At 43.8% G+C, this 23270-nt stretch overlaps 6 annotated features.

The window, feature by feature from the left end:
- Positions 4268-4852: an enhancer, noted in NCBI's record as "OCT4-NANOG-H3K27ac-H3K4me1 hESC enhancer chr18:8662265-8662849 (GRCh37/hg19 assembly coordinates)". NCBI's record gives its function as "activates a minimal SCP1, AML or CMV promoter by ChIP-STARR-seq in naive H9 embryonic stem cells {active_cell/tissue: H9 hESC(naive)}" and the evidence as "EXISTENCE:reporter gene assay evidence [ECO:0000049][PMID:30033119]".
- Positions 6823-7422: an enhancer, noted in NCBI's record as "H3K4me1 hESC enhancer chr18:8659695-8660294 (GRCh37/hg19 assembly coordinates)". NCBI's record gives its function as "activates a minimal SCP1, AML or CMV promoter by ChIP-STARR-seq in primed H9 embryonic stem cells {active_cell/tissue: H9 hESC(primed)}" and the evidence as "EXISTENCE:reporter gene assay evidence [ECO:0000049][PMID:30033119]".
- Positions 6969-7140: a silencer, noted in NCBI's record as "fragment chr18:8659977-8660148 (GRCh37/hg19 assembly coordinates)". NCBI's record gives its function as "represses an EF-1alpha promoter that drives an FKBP-Casp9 reporter gene in an ReSE screen in phorbol 12-myristate 13-acetate-treated (for megakaryocytic differentiation) K562 erythroleukemia cells {active_cell/tissue: K562(+PMA)}" and the evidence as "EXISTENCE:reporter gene assay evidence [ECO:0000049][PMID:32094911]".
- Positions 8737-9236: an enhancer, noted in NCBI's record as "H3K4me1 hESC enhancer chr18:8657881-8658380 (GRCh37/hg19 assembly coordinates)". NCBI's record gives its function as "activates a minimal SCP1, AML or CMV promoter by ChIP-STARR-seq in primed H9 embryonic stem cells {active_cell/tissue: H9 hESC(primed)}" and the evidence as "EXISTENCE:reporter gene assay evidence [ECO:0000049][PMID:30033119]".
- Positions 19472-20094: an enhancer, noted in NCBI's record as "H3K27ac-H3K4me1 hESC enhancer chr18:8647023-8647645 (GRCh37/hg19 assembly coordinates)". NCBI's record gives its function as "activates a minimal SCP1, AML or CMV promoter by ChIP-STARR-seq in primed H9 embryonic stem cells {active_cell/tissue: H9 hESC(primed)}" and the evidence as "EXISTENCE:reporter gene assay evidence [ECO:0000049][PMID:30033119]".
- Positions 20095-20717: an enhancer, noted in NCBI's record as "H3K27ac-H3K4me1 hESC enhancer chr18:8646400-8647022 (GRCh37/hg19 assembly coordinates)". NCBI's record gives its function as "activates a minimal SCP1, AML or CMV promoter by ChIP-STARR-seq in primed H9 embryonic stem cells {active_cell/tissue: H9 hESC(primed)}" and the evidence as "EXISTENCE:reporter gene assay evidence [ECO:0000049][PMID:30033119]".

Below are 23270 nucleotides of genomic sequence, written 5' to 3'. Positions count from 1 at the left end.
TTGTTAATTGATCCTTACAAGTCAGATAATTATCTGACTCAACAATGATATGATCCTCCTAATTTTCCCTTTAAAAATCTTAGTCTTCCTTTACCTCCCTGAATACACACATAGTTTACTATGACACACATACTACCATTACAGTGCCTATTCCCAATTAATCATTTTCTTTTAGAGCATCTCCCTGTCTGTTATTTAGGTTGACAAGACTAAACGAATACAGTTTACACACAGTGCATAGGGCAGAGTGAGTGTGCAAACAGTATCAGCTAGCATTACTATTCCCCATCTGCTCATCCACCTCTTTCATCCCCACCTCTGTGAAGTCCACTCACACCTGTGAGACCCTCCTTTTTGCCCACGGTGTGCACGCATGTCTGCAAAGGACTAAACACTCTTCTGATGACTTTTGCTTGAATGTGACGTAGATCGTTCTCTCCATCTGCTTGTGTGTTATTTTAGAAGCAGAAGTGCTCAGGGAATAGAGTGAGACCAGTAGACTTCCTGGCTGACCAGGACCTTTGAAGGATGTGTGGGAATCTGCCACTCAAGGGAACATGAGAAATAAAGGTGTGGACATAGGAGATGGGATGGTAACATATTTGAGGAGTAGTGAGGACCCCAGTGTGACCAGAGCCTAGAGTGCAGGGCATGAAGTTTGAGATGAACACACTTTCAGAGATGGTCGGGGGACTTGCAGAGATGGGGGAGTTTCTGACCCGCCACATAAATGGAATCTCACAGTGTATGGTATTTTTTCACTGGCTTCTTTCACTTGGCATAAGTGAAACCACTGGAACCACTTCAAGGTTCATCCATGATGTAGTGTTATAGCTGTGTAAAGTAATATTTCTTTTTTTTCTTTTTTTTTTTTTTGAGACAGAGTCTCACTCTGTCACCCAGGCTGGAGTGCAGTGGTGCAACCTCGGCTCACTGCAACCTCCACCTCCCAAGTTCAAGTGATTCTTCTTCCTCAGCCTCCCGAGTAGCTGGGATTACAGGCATGCACCACCATGCCCAGCTGATTTTTGTATTTTTAGTAGAGACGGGGTTTCACCATGTTGGCCAGGCTGGTCTCAAACTCCTGACCTCAGGTGATCCACCTGCCTCAGCCTCCCAAAGTGCTGGGATTACAGGCGTGAGCCATGGCACCCAGCCAAGTAATATTTCATTGTATGTATAGACCACGTTTTGCTTCTCCGTTTATCTGTTGATGGACATTTGCATTGTTTCTGGGTTTGGCTTTTATGAATAATGCTGCTCTGAACATCCAAGTACAAGTGTGTATGTGATATATGTCTTTGTTTCTATCGAATATATATCCAAGAGAGTAGAAGTGGCTGAGTCATATGGTGAGTCATATGCTGGGTCTTATGGTAATATGTTTAACTTTTTGAAGTGGGGGAGAATAGGATCTGGAGGCAGGAAACCTAAGGCTGATTCACCCTGACTTCCTAGAACTAAATCAAAAGAAAAATCCCAGCTTTCCATGCCCAAGTACCAAAAGGACCAGAGGCTACTCTCTTTGCAAACCCCCACCTTTTCTGCAAGGCAGATGGAAAATTGGAAGTACCTCTAATTGGTTGCTTTCTGCAACCAGACGTTTGCATAGGAAGGTAGCTTTGTAACTTCAGCCTCTGACTGTAGGCCAAGTCTTCATTTGCATAGGAGTGCATCTTTGTAACTTCACTTTAGCTTCTGATTGGTTGCTTTCCGCAACTAATCAGACTGATTGCAGGCCACCACTTCATTTACATGGGGTGAACACCAAGTGGCCAATGGGAAACCTCTAGAGGGTATTTGGACCCAAGAAGATTCTCTATCCGGGGCCCTTGAGCTGCTGCTTGGGCCGCTCCCACGCTATGGAGTATACTTTCATTTTCAGTAAATCTCTGCTTTCGTTGCTTCATTCTTTCCTTGCTTTGCTGTGCATTTTGTCCAATTCTTTGTTCGAAATGCCTAGAAACTGGACAACCTGCAGTCAAGACCCTCCACCAGTAACAGAAGAACTACCGATTTTTTTTCCCAAAGTGGCTGCACCCTTCAATATTCCCACCATCAGTGTAAGAGAGTTCCAATTTCACCACATCCTCACCAACACTTGGTAGTATGTATGTTTCTGATAATAGCCATCCTCTTGGGTATTAAGAAGGCTTTCATTCTGGTTTTGGTTTGCATTTCCCTAATGACTAGCGATGTTGAGCATCTTTCCATGTGCTTTGGCCATTGGTATACCTGCTTTGGATAAATGTCTATTCAAATTATTTGCCCATTTTTAAAATTAGGTTGTGTTTTCATTATTGAATTGTAAGAATTCTTTATATATTCTGGATATAAGTCCTTGTCAGAGACATGATTTGCAAAGATTTTGATACAGACAACATTTTTTGTGCATTGTTTTCCCACTTTCTTGATAGTTTGTAGCACAAAAGTTTTTAATTTTTAATTTTTTATAGAGACAGTGTCTTGCTATGTTGCCCAGGCTGGTTTCGAACTCCTGACGAAAGTTTATCATTTTGATGAAGTCTACTATATCTGTTTTTTCCTTTTGTTGTTTTGTGCAATTGATGCCATATTTAAGAAGACATTACCCAAAGTCATGAAGATTTACTCCTGAGTTTTATTCTAAGAGTTTTAGTTGGACCTATTTTGACCTACTTTATGTGTATTATGTGAGGTTGGGGAACTGACTTTATTCCAGATATCCTATCTTTACCAAAGGCTTGAGTGTCTATTACTGAATGAAAATTGTTTTAGATTTTTGACAAGTGTGCTTGAATTTCAGAGCAGGGACTTGGGCTCAGTATCTTTGAGGTAGGTAGCAAATGATTCCTTTTCACAGTAAAAACAAATAAAAACCTGATCTCTTTATTTGTTGAACAGTTTCTTCTTTTCTGTCTTTAGTTCTCTCTCTTTGTCAAAATACTGAACTTTCCAAATCCTTATCTTTTCTTTAGTTTCCTTTCTTTTTCACTTGCCATTATATTGTAATATTGCAAGCACATTCCTATATTAGAACACACACACACACACACACACACACACACACACACACACACACACACGGCCCCATTTCTCCCACTTCTTCATCTATCCTGTGCTTTCGTTACCGTTCTCTAGGTCAGCCCAGGGTTCTGGTCAGCAAATGAGCCTGATGCCATCACTCTCTCATTCACCCCACATCTCTTTGGGGCAAACCAGAACCCTCACCAGACTGACCTCCAGTTTAGGCTCTGCTGTGTACTGAACATGTAGATCTGAGGAAGCAGCATCCACGTCAGGCACCATGCATAAAAGGGAGGGTTGGATGGGATCGATCACAGATATTGGAAGGATATGATCCCTCTTCCGATCACTCACAGTGGGTCTTTGCTCACCTCAGGTGTGTATTGACCTTACAACAAATTGCACAATGGGTCCCTCCCAACCCGAGGCTACCTTCCTTTCTCTTGGGTGAAAAATTGCAGTTAGAATGAAGTGCAGATCCCTCTCCAAGGCCTGCGAGTCATGTGAGCCACTCACCTCCCTTGGCCACTGTCCTCTGCTTGCTGGGTGCATCTGGCCGGTTTCTGCTCCTGAGCCCTGCTGGGGGCCTGTCCCCAGGTCTGCTTGAGGCTGTCCTCCCCCTAATGTCTTGGCGGGCAGGCCTCAGCCTCGGGAGCGTTCTCTGAGCACCTAGGGAAGTCACAGCCCTCACCTCAGCTTCTTCACTCTTGATCCTGTGGCAACATGTGCATCCCCTCAGGCCCTGCTGCTCCCTTGCACCTCCTGTCTGTGTCCCCTGCGGGTCAGCAGGTCAGCCTGGAGGACCGGGACCCTGCCTACCTCACTGGCAGTGCATCTCCCCATTCCAAGCTGGGACTGGCACTCGGAAGGAGCTCAGATAATGCCTCTTAACTAGGCGTTTTCCTAGGTACCCATGCAGCCTCTCTTTTCCTTTCCTTTGGCTTCCGCCTGTCCTACAGGGATCACTAAGGGAGCAGTCAAGGTTGGGGAGCATGGGTGGAGGGGGAGGCGGATGGCCCTTCAGATCAGTTCCATAGCGCAGCTCGCAGATGACAGGGGACAGATGGGAGCTCACCGCGGGCTTGCCAGGCCAGACAGCGAGTGAGGACGCCAGGGACAAGTTAGCAAGGCCAGTTGCAGCCTGGGTCCCGCACCTGCTCTCAAGGGCATTGAGTGCCCTCTTCTGCTGAGCTGAACCCACCTGCATGTAGGGGCGAGTTGGGGGGTGGCCGGTGCCAAGGGTGTCAGGAGTCAGTTACTGGCCATGAGGCCTGCACAAATCACTTCCGCTGCCTGCATCTGGGATTGCCCCTTTCTCAAATCAGCATGAACAGTGCCCATCTCCTAGGTTATTATGGTCAGGGTGAAGTCATTTTAGACACGGAAGTCCTGAGAATAACACCTACAACTAAAGGCGTGAGTTAGCTGTTATTATCACATGAAGGTGTGAGTTAGCCGTTATCACATGAAGGTGTGAGTTCGCCGATATTACATAAAGGTGTGAATTAGCTGTTATTCCATGAGGAGAAGAGAAAACGAGTAACACAGAAGTGATGCAGGCAGCCCCTCTCCCCAGGCACCCGCCCCAGGGCCTCTGCACTTTGCATACAGCTGGCGCCCAGCCCCTCTCAGAAGTCACCGAGCTGACAGCACAATGGGGCAAAGAAAGGAGCGGCTGTGAACAAACACTGAGCTGACGACCACGGCCTGGGGTTCCTATTGTCCAGGCACATTCTCCTCACGCCTCCCCACTTCAATTTTTTATTTTAATTAACATGACTAAACTGGGCACCCAAGGTCTTTGTCCTCATCTCAGCCAGCCTAACCTGCAGGCTCTTCGGGAACATGGTTGGGAGAAGCGATGTTCTCCCAATTAGAAATACAGGGTTTTGCACAAAGTGACAATCCAAGGACCATTTTCATTTTCATCATTTTCAAATCAAAAGCATTTTCCAGCCTCCTTCTGAAGGAAAGCAATGGGCACGCGGGACCCTTAAACAGACTCCTTACAGAGGCAGATGCCTGTCAGGTGGACCAGGTAGGACCGGGCACCCTCATTCAGCAGCAGGATTGGATTAGCTTTCTGTCCTCTGGCGAGGTCACCCGAAGCCCAGCTGCGAATGCAAATTTGCAGTGAGAAAGGGTGCGGTTTCCAATCTCCACCAGTCAGCAGGAGAGCCAGTTACCTAGGTGACAGACTGTGCTGTTTTCCTGGTTAAATTCACAGGAAGGAGAGGAAGGGGAAAATATTTAAACGAGCCTGAGCCTTGAGCTAACCCTCCTCCCTGGTGAAGCCTGATCTCCAGCCATCGCTGAGAATTGTGGACCACATTTTAACCTGTTCTCTCACTTCCTAATCCTTCTTCCAGTCAATGCCATCGACTGCAAGTTTGATTGTTCCTGGTGTATTTTTCAATTTATATCAACAGGCAAAAAAAGCAAAAGGCAGCAGGGCAATTTGTGTTTTCACAAGTGAGTTTTATTTGCTTCCTTTGTAGCAATTAATGCTAAATTCTCAGGTTACAATACGAAAAAGAAGCTTGTATGAGAGAGTAATGACTGCTCTTTCTCTGTCTCAGATTATAAAGAAGTAGCAATACTTGAATAACTGTAAGGCTGTGGTTTAAATGTATCTATGTATCCATTTATGTACCTACACAGACATTACGGCTATTATATACAATTTTCTTCCTTCCTTCCCTTCCTTCTTCCCTCCCTCCCTCCCTTTTTCTCTTCCTTCCTTCCTCTCTCCTGCTCTTTTTCTTGGCAGACACATTCAGACTGAAATGTCCCCTGTCCTCAAGCACTTCACAATCTAGTTGGGAGACAGACCAAGAAGTAGCTATGTCTCAAATGCCAAGCAGTCTTCGCCAGCCCACTGAGTCAGGAAAATCACATTAAGATAGACAACCCACAGTTTCCATTCTCACCCCCTCCTCCTCCACAGGACCTCACTCCCAAGTCCCCTCCCCTCCGGGGCGGCTGATCAATAAGGCAGGCTGGACAAATCGAGGGACAAATAAATAAATGAACAAAAATTATATAGGGTCCAATCAGGTATGCCTTGATATAGGTATGAATATATTCCTGAAAATTGGTTCAATTCATTTAGATCATCTATTTTAAAACATAGGAAGAGAGCTTACTATTTAAAGTAACTTAATAGTGAATCATTTTGTAAAGCACGGAAATTACTTTCATTTTGTAATGATCATGATTAACTTTATTTGGCATGGATTATCACATATGGATTTTTCGTTTTCTTTTTGTTAGAGACAGGGTCTTACTGTGTCAACCCAGACTGAGTGCAATAGTGTGATCACAGCTCACTGTAGCCTTGAACTCCTGGGCTCAAGCGATCCTCCTGCCTCAGCCTCCTGAGTAGTGGGGACTATAGGCCTGTGTCACCAAGCCTGACTAAATTGTTTTATTTTTTGTAGAGACAGGGTCTCACTATTTTGCCCAGGCTTGGACTTTTTGTATACACGTCTCATAATATTCTAGAGACTCTATGTACCCATGAAAATTAAAAATATTTTAAAACATTCTAGAGACTCATCCAGGAAGCTGTGACGAATCCCAGACTGTCAGAAGCCAAGGTCAGGGAAGCCGACCTGAATTTGTTACTACAGTTACCAATCAGGAATTTGGTAGGAAAGCTTTTTTTAAAATTTATTTTTTATGTTTTTAAATTAAGGCTTCTCTTTCCAGAAGTTAGTCCTGACTGGTACCTGCAGGAAGGTTGAGCTCTGTGAGTGAGTAGCTCACAGGCCACCGATACCAGAGCCGATAGGAACATAGCCAGTGAGTGTTTTGTAAAAGCCCAGCAATGGGATACCTTGGGAGTCCACCTGTATAATATTCAACAACTGCAAAACTGGCGTGTGGTGGTAGAAATCAGGAGGTATCTTTGGAAGAGACGGAAGAGCTAGTCAAAATAAAACTCGATTAACGCTTCAACGGAAGTGCTTGCTGCGTGCTAAAACCAAACCTCAGGCCGGGAAACACCAGATCGGATGAAGGCGTGAGGAAAGCGTGGCGGAGGTGCTTATCTGAGCTGGAACGGACGCGCCTGCAAGCTTCGGTGGCCGGAGCTGGGAAAGGAGTCTGAGCTGTCTGTCACTGGGTGACCCTGGGCAAATCCACGGCCACTTCGGAGTTTCCCTCTCTGTGAGGTGGGGCTGGTGAGCTCTGCCCATGGGCTCTCCAGGGCTTGTGCTCCCGGCGAACTCTCGGGAAGCGCAGGGCCGGGCGAGGCTCTCCCACGAGCACCCACAGCCGGGCACGGGGCTCCAGCCCCAATCCAACAAAGCCGCTCGTCCTTCCTCTGCCACTTCAGTGAAGGACTTATGCATGGCTGAAGCTGAATCTTGAAAGCCAAGGGCCTGCTTGGATTTCTCTGGTCATCTGAGGAGGGTGGAGAGGGTGCTGAAATGGGCGGGGTGTGTGCCGGGACGCGCGGCCCTCTCACCGCCAGAGCACACCTGGCCCCTCTGCGAGCTTGGCCTGGAGCCCACCTGGCCTCCGGGGAACAGGCCCTTCTTCGCGGCAGCAAAGGAGTTCGAATCTCTCAGCCCTCGTGGCTGGGCACTTACAGGTCCGCCCTCCTCCCCACAATCTCATCTTACAGACGGAGGAACTGAGGTTTCAGAAAATCCCGCGCATCGTCCCAATTCACAGTCAGGAAGGGAGGCTTCCAACGAACATGGAAGTCTGCGCATTGTCCCAATTCACAGTCAGGAAGGGAGGCTTCCAGCGAACATGGAAGTCTGCTGGAGTGCAGGCCTCTTCCCAGGCACGGGCGTTCTGCGCGGGGCGCTGCCTCTCGGGCCAGCCCGTCTTCAGCTGCCACTTCTGTCGTGGATGGCCTGGGAGGAAGCCGAGTTTCCATCTGAGCGTGGTTATTGATATCAGCACCACGAGTCGTGAAGATACACGAGGCAAAGAATAAGTCCTTTTAACTTCATCATCTGCAGGTCCCCAGACGACCGTCTCATCGGGTGAGGGGGTTTTCTGGGGAGGTCAGGCTGGTGGCCACCCCTGGCTGAGTCATCCAGGACCCACGTGCTGCTGTGACGGCACCTCTCTTCCTACCGCTCCCTCTGCCCCCTCTCTGTGGCGCTTCTCTCCTGGCCACTCTGCCCGAGAGCCTTTGTTACAAAGTGGTTTATACATGATTGAGCCTGTGCATGATGTGTTCAAGCTACTTTACGGAGAAGCTTTCGAGAGAGAAATGCCACAGTGGCGCCATAGAAACCCTTCCCTAGGACAACCAGCTACTCCTATAGTTTAAGAACGGCAAGATGTTGAAAACATAATAAAAACTACCCTTGCAAATGTCATAAAATCTGTGTGGGTCCTCCCTGCCCCAAATTTCTTAGAGCTTTTCTCGTCCCTGTCCCCAACTAGATTCCTCATGAAGACGCGAAGACCATCATTTCAGCTCAAAAGACATTCATTCTTTTTTTTTTTTTTTTTTAAAGACAGGGTCTCACTTCTGTCACCCAGGCCAGAGAGCAATGGCACAATCATGGCTCACTGTAGCCTCAACCTTTTGGGCTCAAGTGATCCTCCTGCCTTAGCCTCCCAAGCAGCTGGGATGACAGGCGTGCATCTCCATGCCTGGCTAATTAAAACATTTTTTTTTGTAGAGACGGGGTCTCACTATGTTGCCCAGGCTGGTTTCAGATTCCTGGGCTCAAGTGATCCTCCCACCTCAGCCTCTCAAATTACTGGGATTATAGGCATAAGCCACCACACCCAATCTCATTCTTGACGTTCCAATAAACCTACTCGAGGACAGAGTGATGACAGATTTCTCTGCAGAGAAAATACAGAAAACTTTCTGCTGCTCTTCACCTGGGGTGATCTTCACCCCCACGTGTAACTGAGTCAGGATGGGTGAGAACTGAGAGCTGGCAGGATCCTTCTAGGACGATGAAGGCGCTACCGAAGGGGGTCGTTTCATACAGTGCTAAGGGAGGTCGGCTGCTGGACCAATGCCCAAGGCCAGACAAGCACACCCGGAGCTTGCTGACTTGGCAGGTTGCTAGTTGCCATGGCAACACAGCAACCTCCAGAGATGGGCAGGATTGGGCCAGAAAGCAGGAAGGCCTGGCAGGCAGCTAAGCTATTGCATGGGGGTGTGGTGGGCTCGGGGGTTCCGGAAGGAGCTTCAAGTGTATGTAGGACCTTACAGCATTTTTTTTTCTGGCGAAGGAAAAAACCGTAAATGGTGATGATGAAGAGTTGTATGACAATGGAGAAAGGAAAAGGTCACCATAAATGCTAGAAAACAACCAGATGAAGGCAAGGGACAGTGAGAAAACAATATCTTGGTGGAATTTAAAATCTTGCCAAGGAGGAAAGGTAAAGGAAGAAAGCAAGCAGCAACCTGATCTTTGGAGCCGAGAGAGAAAAGAAATGAAAGCATCCACAAAGGCCCCCTGTGCCTGCAGCCTGGGGCAGTGCGTGACCAGGGAGGGCCAGGGAGTGACCTTGGCGATGACAAAACCAGACTTGTGTCAGAAATGGAATAGCAGCAGCTGCCCTCCGCAGCCAGGAACACACCAACAGTTTTATATTCAGTGCTGATGGTGGCTAGAGATTTTGCTCTGCCTTGAATTTAAAGCGTTTCTTCCTATGAAATCAGACCTTTCCTGTAATGGGAAAATGGATTTAAGTGGCAGTTTCAAGTAGTAGTCACAAGTGATGCCAGGCACAAAATGCAAAAAAGCGTCAGGCCGGTTCTGAGCAGGCAGAGTTTACTGGTAGATTAGGCCAGTCGGCAGGTGCTCCTGGCTCTCAGGAAATCTGCTCCTAAGTGCCTGCTGTCGCCCACCTCGTCAGAGATGAGACCTTCAGAGGGCCAGTGGGGGTGAGGCACCACCTTGCCCCGGGCCCTCACTGTGAAGTGATTAGGAGGATGTGTGGACAGCCTGCCAGGAGTGTGAACACACATTATAACTTGAGTCAGAGGGGCCACGACCAACACAGTCTCTAGCCTTCCTGACGATCTCACAGGGGCTAACTGAAAAGCCCTAACTTCTGAGTGACCACGGCCAGTGTTAACTTTCTCTGTGAATTCATCCGAGCAGAAAGTGAGCAGAACCAATGTTATTATTTCCAAAACAGTGAAAACAAGGCCGAGGTTCTGTGTAGTGCCTGTCTGGGCTCATTTGGTATCAAATCATTAGCCATATATGAATCGTTCCTTTTTTTTTTTTTCCTTTTGAGAGAGACTCTCTGTCACCCAGGCTGGAGTGCAGTGGCACGATCTCAGCTCACTGCAACCTCTGCCACCCGGGTCCAAGCGATCCTTCTGCCTCAGCCTCCAGAGTAGCTGGGATTACAGGCACATGACACCATGTCTAGTTAATTTTTTTGTTTTTTTAGTAAAGACGGGGTTTCACCATGTTGGCCAAGCTAGTTTCTGATCCAAGTGATCTGCCCACTTTGGCCTCCCAAAGGAATCATTCTTATTATGCCAATCAATCATTTAGACCACAATCTAAAGGAACACTCTATGGGAAGATGCTGCAAACAGTTGTCCGGTAAAACACAAAGTCACATATTCATTGGATTGAGTTTAACTTGAGCCTTTGATTCTTGGAATGGCTCCTAGCAATGGTGTTGGCATCTGCTACTCTCTTCCAATGACTGTCTAGGGAAGCCCAGCTGCCAAGGAAGGAGGCTGAGCATACTACAGCTTCCTGCAACAACACGGGTGACTCCCACAAACATCGTGCTGAGCAAAAGAAGCCGACCTGAAAGAGCGCTCCATGTATGGTTCATTTCTGTCAAGTTCACAACCCAGCAACCTAATCCAGGGGGTTAGAAGGGCGTGCAAGGGCACTCTTGAGGTTCTGATCCTTTTCTTGTCCCGGGCGTGAATACAGTCATCGTGAGGAAAATTTATCAGTTGAACAACTCATGATTTGTGTTCTTTTCTTTATGTATGTTATACTGCAACGACAGCTTACCAATACAAAACAGAACCAAACCAAAACCCCCCAGAGGAACTCGCCCTTGAGAAGCCCTGGTTCCCCCAGCCCAGAGGACCCTGGGCCCCTGGGAGCCACAGCTGGCTTCCCTGATTGTTCCCCACTAAGAGGCCAGGAGAGAACTGTCTTTTTCTCAACTCTTATTTCTTACCACCTGCCCCTGCTCACCCCACAAAGGCCTCTCCAAGCATACCCTCTGCCTAATCTCCATTGCCCAGGAGAGAACTGGAGCAAAGTTAGTATCCTTTCCTGACTCCCTAAACCTAATCATTACTTGCCTATCATCAGATAGCAAGAGAAATCATGCTCTCTTCTAGCTGGTGTTAGTTAGATCCCAACTCTATGGTATCCTTGCCCAGGCTATCTACGTACAGAATTCATTAGAGCATCTACTCGATTCTCCCTCTTTTTCCTTTGCAGAGACTTTTTGATACTCCCTGCTTTTTTGCTGCTGACACTGCACTTGAGAGTGCTGAATCTTCTTCTTCTTCTTCTTTTTTTTTTTTTGAGACGGGGTCTTGCTCTGTTGCCCAGGTTGGAGTGCAGTGGTGCGATCTTGGCTCACTGCAACTCCACCTCGCGGGTTCAAGTGATTCTCCTGCCTCAGCCTTCCAAGTAGCTGGGACTACAGGTGGCTGCCACCCCACCAGCTAATTTTTGTATTTTTTGTAGAGACACGGTTTCACTGTGTTGGCCAAGCAGGTCTCGAACCTCTGACCTCAGGTGATCTGCCCTCCTTGGCTTCCCAAAGAGCTGGGATTACAGGCATGAGCCACCATGCCTGGCTGAGTCTTCTTTAAACACTTTCCCAATCTTGTGAGGACAGTGCCACTTTGTGGAAAGTGGCCCTTGGCTACCCCTGTCTTTTGTGGATTCCTTATCTACGACCCTCCCTGCTGTGTCACTGACAGACCCCCCACTCCTGTCCTCAGCAGGTCCTGTGATATATGCCAAGGTCACGAGTCACAATCTTTGAGTGTAGTCCATGACTAAAGTTTAAAAAGCAAATGCCAAGTAGATTTAGTGAATAAAATACAGTTTTGTCTTCCTTAAATGGCACCTAGAAAAAAAAAGCAAACAATAAATGTTATCAAAAGAGTTACCTTTAAAAATTATTGTACACTGTCTACATTTAACATTTCTTTGTGCTTAAAATTCTTCAGCCTTCTAATTAGGGAAATTCCCCTGAGTTCCAACTGAATTCATTGTGTCTGTTCAAATTGCAGCTAAAATGTAGGGCATAATTTTTAAAATTTACATTCCTCTTCTAAATTATACCACATCCACATATTCAAAGGATCTATTTTAATTATGTATGTTTTTTAAAATAATAAAGATTCTAATTTAGAAATAATTGTACAACGTATAAATGATAGTCTAACCTGAATTTTTTATCATTCGTGCTCTGCCTCCTCCTAGTGGAAATTTTGTATAATTGCACCAACTCCTCAGCGATTATTATAACACCAGGATTATTTAGAGTCCATATAGTTTCCCAAGAGATTTGAGGTGGCTTAATGAACATACACACTATAAAAAAGTAAACTAAATAAGTTGAAATGCAGGTTTACAGTGTATTCACTAAAGGTAATAATGGATTCCATGAGAGGTTTCCTAAAGTTGTTTCATTTTGGATGAAGGCATGACACCAAGTCAGAAGACAATTCCTGGAGTCAAGACCATGGGTTTCTTCATGCAGCTGTGTCTGAGCTGTCTTGACCTGGGAAATAATGCTAAAAGAAAAGAACAGAGAGTATGACTTTCAAACTATGCTCCACGGGATTTTCGATAAAGTTGAGCAGCAGGTATTTGAAGCTGGTATTCAATTTCAACAGCTTGGAGTGTGGGCAATTTGTGTAGCTGATTAAGAGCAATCCGTATGTTTTAAAAGCACCAAACAGATGGTAGGACTGCTGTCATTTCTGGTGGAAAATTAAGAACCTAATGAAAATGCTAGATTCACGAGATGACCAGCCGGGTCTTAGTATTCAATTTATTCACAATCACTTGATACTTCCATTGGCTTTTGTCAAATAGGCTGTGGTAAGTTATTTTGGGATCAGTCATGGGGGGAAAGAGAAGGAAACTGACAAAGCAACAGATATTTAAAAGAGCAGGGACTATGTTAGTAACCTTCATTTTGCTATCTCCCTTATTGTCACAACAATTCTATCAACCTACCTCACAAAGCCAAGTGGGGTTAGGACTTTGCTGAAAGAAAGATTTCTCCCTGTTTTCTTCTAGAGGATTTTTAGCTTTAGGTGTCATGCTTAGGTCTATGATCTTTTTTGTAGAGAGTGCAAGGCGTAGATTGAGGTACATTTTTTTTACATATGAATATCTAATTGTTCCAGCTATTCACTGAAAAATCTATCCTTTCTCCATTGAATTGCCTCTTTCCAAACTTGTTGAAAGTCAATTCACCATATATGTATGACTCTATTCTGTTCCAGTCATCTGTATGTCTATCCTTTCTTCTCCACTATTTTTTTTCTTTTCTTTCTTTCTTTCTTTCTTTCTTTCTTTCTTTCTTTCTTTCTTTCTTTCTTTCTTTTTTTTTTTTTGAGACAGGGTCTCACTGTGTTGCTCAGACTGGTCTTGAACTCCAGGCCATCCTTCTGCCTCAACCTCCTGAGTAGCTGGGACTACATGCACGCACCACCATCCCTGGCTTATCCCTTATGCCTTGATTACTGTCGATTTATAGTTAAGTCTTGAAATTAGATAGTGTGGATCTTCCAACTTTGTTGTTCTTCAAAATTGCTTTAGCCTTTCTAGTTTATTTGTTTTTATATATAAAGTTTAGAATTAGCTTGTTGATTTCTACAAAAAATCCTGTAGGGATTTTGATTGGATTGGTGTATCTCTCTCCACTTGTTTAGGTCTTTGATTTTTTTAATCAGAATTTTGTAGTCTTCAGCGTGTAGATCTTACATATATAATTTGTTGTGTGTGTAGGTGTGTGCGTGCTGTTTAAATAGTACTTTGAAAAAATCCAACCTTCAAGTGTTTATTGATAGTAAATAAAAATACAATTAATTTTTGTATGTTGACCTTGTATCCTGTGACCTAGCTAAACGCACTTATTAGTTCTAACAGCTTTGCTGTAAATTCTTTGTGAATTTCTATGCAGACAATCATGCGAATAGTTTTATTTGTTTTATTTATTTGTTTCCGTTAATTTCTTCTTCTTGCCTTATTGCAGGCTATAAACTTTAGTATGATGCTTAACTTTTTAAAAAAATCCTTGTATTGTTCCTATTCTTAGAGTTAAGACAAGTCTTCCACCATCAAGGATAAGGCTAGCTGTTGTTTTGTAGGTAACATTTACCAGGTTGAGAAAGTTCCCTATGTTTTTTTTTTTTTAAATAGCTTTGGCAGTTTGTGTTCTTTAGGAAATTTGTCCATTTAATCTAAGTTGTTAAATTTATAGGCTTAGGATAGTTTGTGCTGTTTCCTTATTATTATTTATTATTATTATTTTTTGAGACAGAGTCTTACTCTGTTGCCAGGCTGGGGTGCAGTGGTGCAATCTCAGCTCACTGCAACCTCTGACTCCCTGGTTCAAGCTATTCTCCTGTCTCAGCCTCCCGAGTAGCTGGGATTACAGGCATGTGGCACCACGCCCAGCTAATTTTTGAGAGATGGGGTTTCACCATGTTGGTCAGGATGGTCTGGATCTCCTGACCTCATGATCTGCCCGCCTCGGCCTCCCAAAGTGCTGGGATTACAGGCATGAGCCACTGCAACTGGCCTCCTTATTATTCTTCAGTGCCTGTAATGATTTCTCCTCTTCCATTTCAGTTATGGATAATCGTCTTCTCTCTGTATTTCTTGGTGAGTGTGGCTAGAGGCTTATCGGTTGTGTTAATTTCGCTGGGCATGATGGTTCACACCTGTAACAAGCATTTTGGGAGGCCGAGGTGGGAGGATCACTTGAGGCCAGGAGTTCAAGACCAGCCTGGGCAACCCACTGAGACTCCTTCTCAATAAATAAATAAATAAATAAATAAAAATAATTTTTTTTGAAGTTCAAGTTTTATTTAATAAATTAAAATACATTATTCAATTTTAATTAATTTAAAATTTTTTTATTATACTTTAAGTTCTGGGGTACATGTGTAGAATGTGCAGATTTGTTACACAGGTATACACATGCCATGGCGGTTTGCTGCACCCATCAACCCCTCATCTACATTAGGTATGTCTCCTAAATGCTACCCCTCCCCTAGCTCGCCACCCTGTGGCAGGCCCTGGTGTTTGATGTTCCCACCCCTGTGTTTATGTGTTCTCATTGTTCAACTCCCACTTATGAGTGAGAACACGTGGTGTTTGGTTTTCTGTTCCTGTGTTAGTTTGCTGAGAATAATGGTTTCCAGCTTCATCCATGTCCCTGCAAAGGACATGAACTCATCCTTTTTTATGGCTGCATAGTATTCCATGGTGTATATGTGCCACATTTTCTTTAGCCAGTCCATCATTGATAGGCATTTGGGTGGGTTCCAAGTCTTTGCTATTGTGAATAGTGCTGCAATAAACATATATGTGCATGTGTCTTTATAGTAGAATGATTTATTATCCTTTGGGTATATACCCAATAATGGGATTGCTGGGTAAAACGGTATTTCTTGTTTTAGATCCTTGAGGAATCGCCACACTGTCTTCCACAATGGTTGAACTAATTTACACTCCTACAAACAGTGTAAAAGCATTTCTATTCCTTCACATCCTCTCCAGCATCTGTTGTTTCCTGACTTTTTAATGATCGCCATTCTAACTGGCATGAGATGATATTTCACTGTGGTTTTGATTTGCATTTCTCTAATGACCAGTGATGATGAGCTTTTTTTTCATGTGTTTGTTGACCACATAAATTGTCTTCTTTTGAGAAGTGTCTGTTCATATCCTTCACCTACTTTTTGATGGGGTTGTTTTTTTCTTGTAAATTTGTTTAAGTTCCTTATAGATTCTGGATAATAGCCCTTTGTCAGATGGGTAGATTGCAAAAATTTTATTCCATCCTGTAGGTTGCCTGTTCACTCTGATGATAGTTTCTTTTGCTGTGCAGAAGCTCTTTAATTTAATTAGATCTCATTTGTCAATTTTGGTTCTTGTTGACATTGCTTTTGGTGGTTTAGTCATGAAGTCTTTGCCCATGCCTATGTCCTGAATGGTATTGCCTAGGTTTTCTTCTAGGGTTTTTATGGCTTTAGGTCTTATGTTTAAGTCTTTAATCCATCCAATTTTTGTATAAGGTGCAAGGAAGGGGTCCAGTTTCAGTTTTCTGCATTTGGCTAGCCAGTTTTCCCAACACCATTTATTAAATAGGGAATCCTTTCCCCATCGCTTGTTTTCGTCAAGTTTGTCAAAGATCAGATGGTTGTAGATGTGTGGTGTTATTTCTGAGACCTCTGTTCTGTTCCATCAATCTATATATCTGTTTTGGTACCAGTACCATGCTGTTTTGGTTACTGTAGCCTTGTAGTATAGTTTGAAGTCAGGTAATGTGATGCCTCCAGATTTGTTCTTTTTGCTTAGGATTGTCTTGCCCATACAGGCTCTTTTTTGGTTCTTATGAAATTTAAAGTAGTTTTTTCTAATTCTGTGAAGAAAGTCAATGGTAGCTTGATGGGGATAGCATTGAATCTATAAATTACTTTGGGCAGTATGGTCATTTTCATGATATTGATTCTTCCAATCCATGAGCATGGAATGTTTTTCCATTTGTTTGTGTCCTCTTTTATTTCCTTGAGCAGTGGTTTGTAGTTCTCCTTGAAGAGGTCCTTCACATCCATTGTAAGTTGGATTCCTAGGTATTTTATTCTCTTTGTAGCAATTGTGAATGGGAGTTCACTCACGATTTGGCTCTGTTTGTCTATTATTGGTGTATAGGAATGCTTGTGGTTTTTGCACATTGATTTTGTTTCCTGAGACTTTGCTGCAGTTGCTTATCAGCTTAAGGAGATTTTGGGCTGAGGTGATGGGGTTTTCTAAATATACAACAGAGACCATTTGACTTCCTCTTTTCTTAATTGAATACCCTTTATTTATTTATCTTGCCTGATTGCCCTGGCCAGAACTTCCAATGCTATGTTGAATAGGAGTGGTGAGAGAGGGCATCCTTGTCTTGTGCCGGTTTTCAAAGGGAATGCTTCCAGCTTTTGCCCATTCAGTATGATATTGGCTGTGGGTGTGTCATAAATAGCTCTTATTATTTTGAGATATGTTCCATCAATACCTAGTTTAGCTAGAGTTTTTAGCATGAAGTGGTGTTGAATTTTATCAAAGGCCTTTTCTGCATCTATTGAGATAATCGTGTGGTTTCTGTCATTGGTTCTTGTTAATTTTCTGCCTTGTTGATCTGTCTAATATTGACAGTGGGGTGTTAAAGTCTCCCATTTTATTGTGTGGGAGTCTAAGTCTCTTTGTAGGTCTCTGAGAACTTGCTTTATGAATCTAGGTAATCCTGTATTGGGTGCATATATATTTAGGATAGGTAGCTTTTCTTGCTGCATTGATCCCTTTACCATTATGTAATGTCCTTCTTTATCTTTTTGATCTTTGTTGGTTTAAAGTCTGTTTTATCAGACTAGGATTGCAACCCCTGCTTTTTTTTTTGCTTTCCATTTGCTTAGTAAATATTCCTCCATCCCTTTATTTTGAGCCTATGTGTGTCTTTGCACATGAGATGGGTCTCCTGAATACAGCACACTGATGGGTCTTGACTCTTTATCCAATTTGCCAGTGTGTGACTTTTTTTTTTGAGACGGAGTTTCACTCTTGTCTCCCAGCCCATAGCCCTCACTTCCTCTCACCTATTGTTGGGGTCTCTGCCTATGGGCAGAAACCACTGCTTCCTTGCTTTCCCACTGCTTGCTTGCTTGTTTGCTTTTTTTTCTTTTTGAGATGGAGTCTTGCTCCATCACCAGGCTGGAGTACAGTGGTGTGATCTTGGCTCACTGCAACCTCTGCCTCCCCGGTTCAAGTGATTCTCCTGCTTCAGCCTCCTGAGTAGCTGGGATTACAGGTGCATGCCACCATGTCCAGCTAATTTTTTGTATTTTTAGTAGAGACAGGGTTTCGCCATATTGCCCAGGGTGGTCTCGAACTCCTGACCTCAGGTGATTCACCCACCTCAGCCTCCCAAAGTGCTGGGATTACAGGCATGAGCCACTGTGCCTGGCCCACTCTGTGTCTTTTAATTGGGGTATTTAGCCCATTTACATTTATGTTAATATTGTTATGTGTGAACTTGATCCTATCATTATGATGCTAGCTGGTTATTTTGCCTATTAATTGATGCAGTTTCTTCATAGTGTTGATGGTCTTTACAATTTGGAATGTTTTTGCAGTGGCTGGTGCCAGTTTTTCCTTTCCATATTTAGTGCTTCCTTCAGGAGCTCTTGTAAGGCAGGCCTGGTGGTGACAAAATCTCTCAGCATTTCCTCGTCTGTAAAGGATTTTATTTCTCCTTCGCTTATGAAGCTTAGTTTGGCTGGATATGAAATTCTGGGTTGAAAATTCTTTAAGAATGTTGAATATTGGGCCCCACTTTCTTCTGGCTTGTATGGTTTCTGCAGAGAGATCTGCTGTTAGTCTGATGGGCTTCCCTTTGTGGGTAACCCGACCTTTCTGTCTGGCTGCCCCTAACATTTTTTCCTTCATTTCAACCTTGCTGAATCTGATGATTATGTGCCTTGGGGTTGCTCTTCTTGAGGAGTATCTTTGTGGCGTTCTCCGTATTTCCTGAATTTGAATGTTGGCCTCTCTTGCTAGGTTGCGGAAGTTCTCCTAGATATCCTGAAGAGTGTTTTGTAACTTGGTTCCATTCTCCCTGTCACTTTCAGCTACACCAATCAAACGCAGGTTTGGTCTTTTCACATAGTCCCATATTTCTTGGAGGCTTTGTTCCTTTTCATTCTTTTTTCTCTAATCTTGTCTTCATGCTTAATTTCATTAAGTTGATCTTCAATCTCTGATATCCTTTCTTCTGCTTGATTGATTCGGCTATTGATACTTATGTATGCTTTACAAAGTTCTCGTGCTGTGTTTTTCAGCTCCATCAGGTCATTTATGTTCTTCTCTAAATTGGTTATTCTAGTTAGCAATTCTTCTAACCTTTTTTCAAGGTTCTTAGCTTCCTTGCATTGGGTTAGAACATGCTCCTTTAGCTCAGAGGATTTTGTTATTACCCACCTTCTGAAGTCTACTTCTGTCAATTCATCAAACTCATTCTCCATCCAGTTTTGTTCCCTTGCTGGTGAGGAGTTATGATCCTTTGGAGGAGAAGAGGTGTTCTTGTGTTTGGAGTTTTCGGCCTTTTTGCACTGGTTTTTCCTCATCTTCGTGGATTTATCTACCTTTGGTCTTTGATGCTGGTGACCTTTGGATGGGTTTTTTTTTTTGTGGATGTCCTTTTTGTTGCTGTTGATGCTATTCCTTTCTGTTTGTTGGTTTTCCTTCTAACAGTCAGGCCCCTCTGCTACAGGTCTGCTGGAGTTTGCTAGAGGTCAACTCCAGACCCTGTTTGCCTGAGTATCACCAGCAGAGGCCGCAGAACAGCAAAGATTGCTGCACGTTCCTTCTTCTGGAAGCTTCCTCCCAGAGGGGCACCTGCCAGATGCTAGCTGGAGCTCTCTTGTATAAGGTGTCTGTCGACTCCTGCTGGGAGGTGTCTCCCAGTCAGGAGTCATGGGGGTCAGGGACTCACTTGAGGAGGTAGTCTGTCCCTTAGCAAATCTTGAGCACTGTGCTGGGAGATCTGCTGCTCTCTTCAGAGCCAGCAGGCAGGAACGTTTAAATCTGCTGAAGCTGCGCCCACAGCCGCCCCTTCCCCCAGGTGCTCTGTCCCAGGGAGATGAGAGTTTTATCTATAAGCCCCTGACTGGGGCTGCTGCTTTTCTTTCAGAGATGCCCTGCCCATTGAGGAGGAATCTAGAGAGGCAGTCTGGCTACAGTGGCTTTGCGGTGCTGCGGTGGGCTCCGCCCAGTCCAAACTTCTCAGGGGCTTTGTTTACACTGTGAAGGGAATACTGCCTACTCAAGCCTCAGTAATGGTGAACACCCCTCCCCCCACCAAGCTCTAATGCCCCAGGTCGACTTCAGACTGCTGTGCTGGCAGCAAGAATTTCAAGCCAGTGGATCTTAGCTTGCTGGGCTCCGTGGGGGTGGGATCTGCTGAGCTAGACCACTTGGCTCCCTGGCTTCAGCCCCCTTTCCACAGGAGTGAATGGTTGTGTCTCACTGGCATTCCAGGCTCCACTGGAGTATGAAAAAAGCTGCAGCTAGCTCAGTGTCTGCCCAAACAGCCACTCAGTTTTGTGCTTGAAACCCAGGGCCCTGGTGGTGTAGGCACCCAAGGGAATCTCCTGGTCTGCAGGTTGCAAAGACCATGGGAAAAGCATAGTATCTGGGCCGGAATGCACTGTTCCTCATGGCAGAGTCCCTCATGGCTTCCCTTGGCTAGGGGAGGGAGTTCCCTGACCCCTTGTGCTTCCCGAGTGAGGTGACACCCCACCCTGCTTCTGCTTGCCCTCCAGGGGCTGCACCCACTATCTAACCAGTCCCAGTGAGATGAGCTGGGTTCCTCAGATGGAAATGCAGATATCACCTGCCTCCTGCATTGATCTCGTTCATAGCTGCAGACTGGAGCTGTTCCTATTCAGCCATCTCGTGAGCCACCCAATAAATAAAATTAAAAAAAAAGAAAGAAAGAAAAGTTGCTTCTTTTTAAGGCTGAATAGTTAATATTCCATTAATTATCGTACATGTATGTACATGCCAGATTTTGTTTACCCATTCATCCACCAATCGACACTTTCTTTGTTTCCACCTTTTGGCTATTTTGAACAATGCTGCTATGAACATGAATGTATAAATATCTGTTTGAGTACCTGTTTTCGGTTCTTTTGGGTATATACGCAGAAGTGACATTGCTGGGTCATATGGTAATTCTATACCTGATTTTTTGAGGAATCACCATACAATTTCCACAGTGGCTACACTATTTTATATCCCACTTAGCAATACATAAGAGTTCCAAATTCTCTACATCTTCACCAACACTTGTTATTTTTTCACATATAATTGCCATCCTAATGGGTGTGAAGTGGAATCTTGTGGTTTCAATCTGCATTTTCCTAATGATGAGTGACATTGAGCATCTTTCCATGTGCTGTTGGCTATTTGCATATTTTCTTCGGAGAAATGTCTATCAAGTCCTTGCACATTTGTTAATTGGGGTTTTTGTTGCTGCTGAGTTCTTTGGATAGTTTTGGTTTTTCTCTATTATTATGTTCTTAATTTCATTGAGTTATGCTTCATCTTTATTATTTCTTTTCTTCTGCTTGCATTGGGTTTCATTACCGCTTCTTTTCCTAGTTTCTTAAAGTGAAAATTTAGATAAGTTATCCAAGACTTTTTTCTTTTCTAATATAAGCACTTAATGTTATAAATTTCCTCTGTGCACGACTTCAGCTACATCACACAATTTTTTTTTTTTTTTTTTGAGACAGAGTTTCACTCATGTCACCCAGCTGGAGTGCAGTAGCGCAGTCTCGGCTCACTGAAACTTCTGCCTCCTGGGTTCAAGCGATTCTCTTGCCTTAGCCTCCCGAGTAGCTGGAATTACAGGTGCCTGCCACCATGCCCAGCTAATTTTTGTATTTTTAGTAGAGACTAGGTTTCACCTTGTTGGCCAGGCTGGTCATCATACAAATTTTGATATATTGAATTTGGGTTTTTGTTCCATTAGAAGTACTTTAAAATTTCCCTTTTAACTTCTTTTTTACATATGGATTATTTGAAAGTGTATTGTTTATCTTCCACATATTTGGAGATTTTCCAAATATTTTCTGTTATTATTATTCCAGTTTAATTCAGCTGTGGCATAATACATACTTTATATTATTTTTTAAAAAATTTATGGCACAGAATGTAATCTATCTTGGTGAATGTTTCATGTATATTTGAAAATACAAATTTTTCTTTTGATAGTGTTCAATTAGGTTGAGTTTAATTAGGCCACATAAGTCAAATAGGTCTTCTGTAGCCTCACTGATTTGCTATTGACTTGTTCTGTTGACTGAGAAAGGAGCATTGAAATCTCCAACTGTAATTCTGAATCTGTCAATTACTTGTAGTTTTATCAATTTTTGTTTCATGTCTTTCGAAGCTCTGTTGTTAGGTGCATACACATTTAAGATTACTGTCATGTCAGTGAATTGACTCCTTTATTATTATATAATGCTCCACTTTTTCCTGGAAATATTTCTTGTTCTAAAGTCTGCTTTGTCTGATAGCAATAGAACCACTTCAGCTTTCTTTTGATTCGTGTTTTCATGATACCTCTTTTTTCATCCTTTTAACTCATCCTTAAAGTGGGTTTATTGTAGACAGCAAATAATTAGGTCTTTAAAAAAAAAAATACAGCCAGGTGCAGTGCCTCACATCTGTAATCCCAGCACTTTGGGAGGCTGAGGTGGGTGGATCACGAGGTCAGGAGTTCGAGACCAGCCTGGCCAATATGGTAAACCCCGTCTCTACTAAAAATACAAAAATTAGCTGGGCATGGTGGTGTGCGCCTGTAATCCCAGCTACTGGGGCAGCTGAGCCAGCAGAATAGCTTGAACCCAGGAGGCGGAGGTTGCAGTGAGCTGAGATCATGCCACTGCACTCCAGACTGGGTGACAGAGCAAGACTCTGTCTCAAAAAAACAAAAACAAAACAAAACCAACAAAACAGTATGACAAATTTCTTCTTTCAATTTGTAAGTTTAAACTGTTTATAGTTAATGTAATTGCTAATATAGTTGGATTAAATTCACCATCTTGGCCGGGTGTGGCAGCTCACGCCTATAATCCCAGCACTTGGGAGGCTGAGGTGGGCAGATCACTTGAGCCCAGTTCAAGACCAGCCTAGGCAACATGGTGAAACCCCATTTCTACAGAAAAAAAAAAAAAAAAAAAAAAGCTGGGCATGGTGGCACATGCTTGTAGTCCTAGCTACTCGAGAGGCTGAGCCAGGAGAATCACCAGAGACCAGGGAGGTCAAGGTTGCAGTGAGCTGTGATCATGCCACTGCACTCCAGCCTCAGCAACAGAGCGAGACCCTGTCTTAAAAAAGGAAAAAAAAACCCAGCATCTTGCTAGTTGTTTTCTATAGACATTTAAAGTCAGTGCTCATCTTATAATGATTTGTGCATATAGTGATTGCTAGCAAATTTAAATGACACTAAGAACATAAGCCATTTGGGCCATCTTC

This window comes from Homo sapiens, chromosome 18, assembly GCF_000001405.40.
Source record: "Homo sapiens chromosome 18, GRCh38.p14 Primary Assembly".
Classification (NCBI taxonomy): domain Eukaryota; kingdom Metazoa; phylum Chordata; class Mammalia; order Primates; family Hominidae; genus Homo; species Homo sapiens.
The sequence above is the reverse complement of the archived record's forward strand: the minus strand, read 5'-3'. Positions and strand labels throughout refer to the sequence as shown.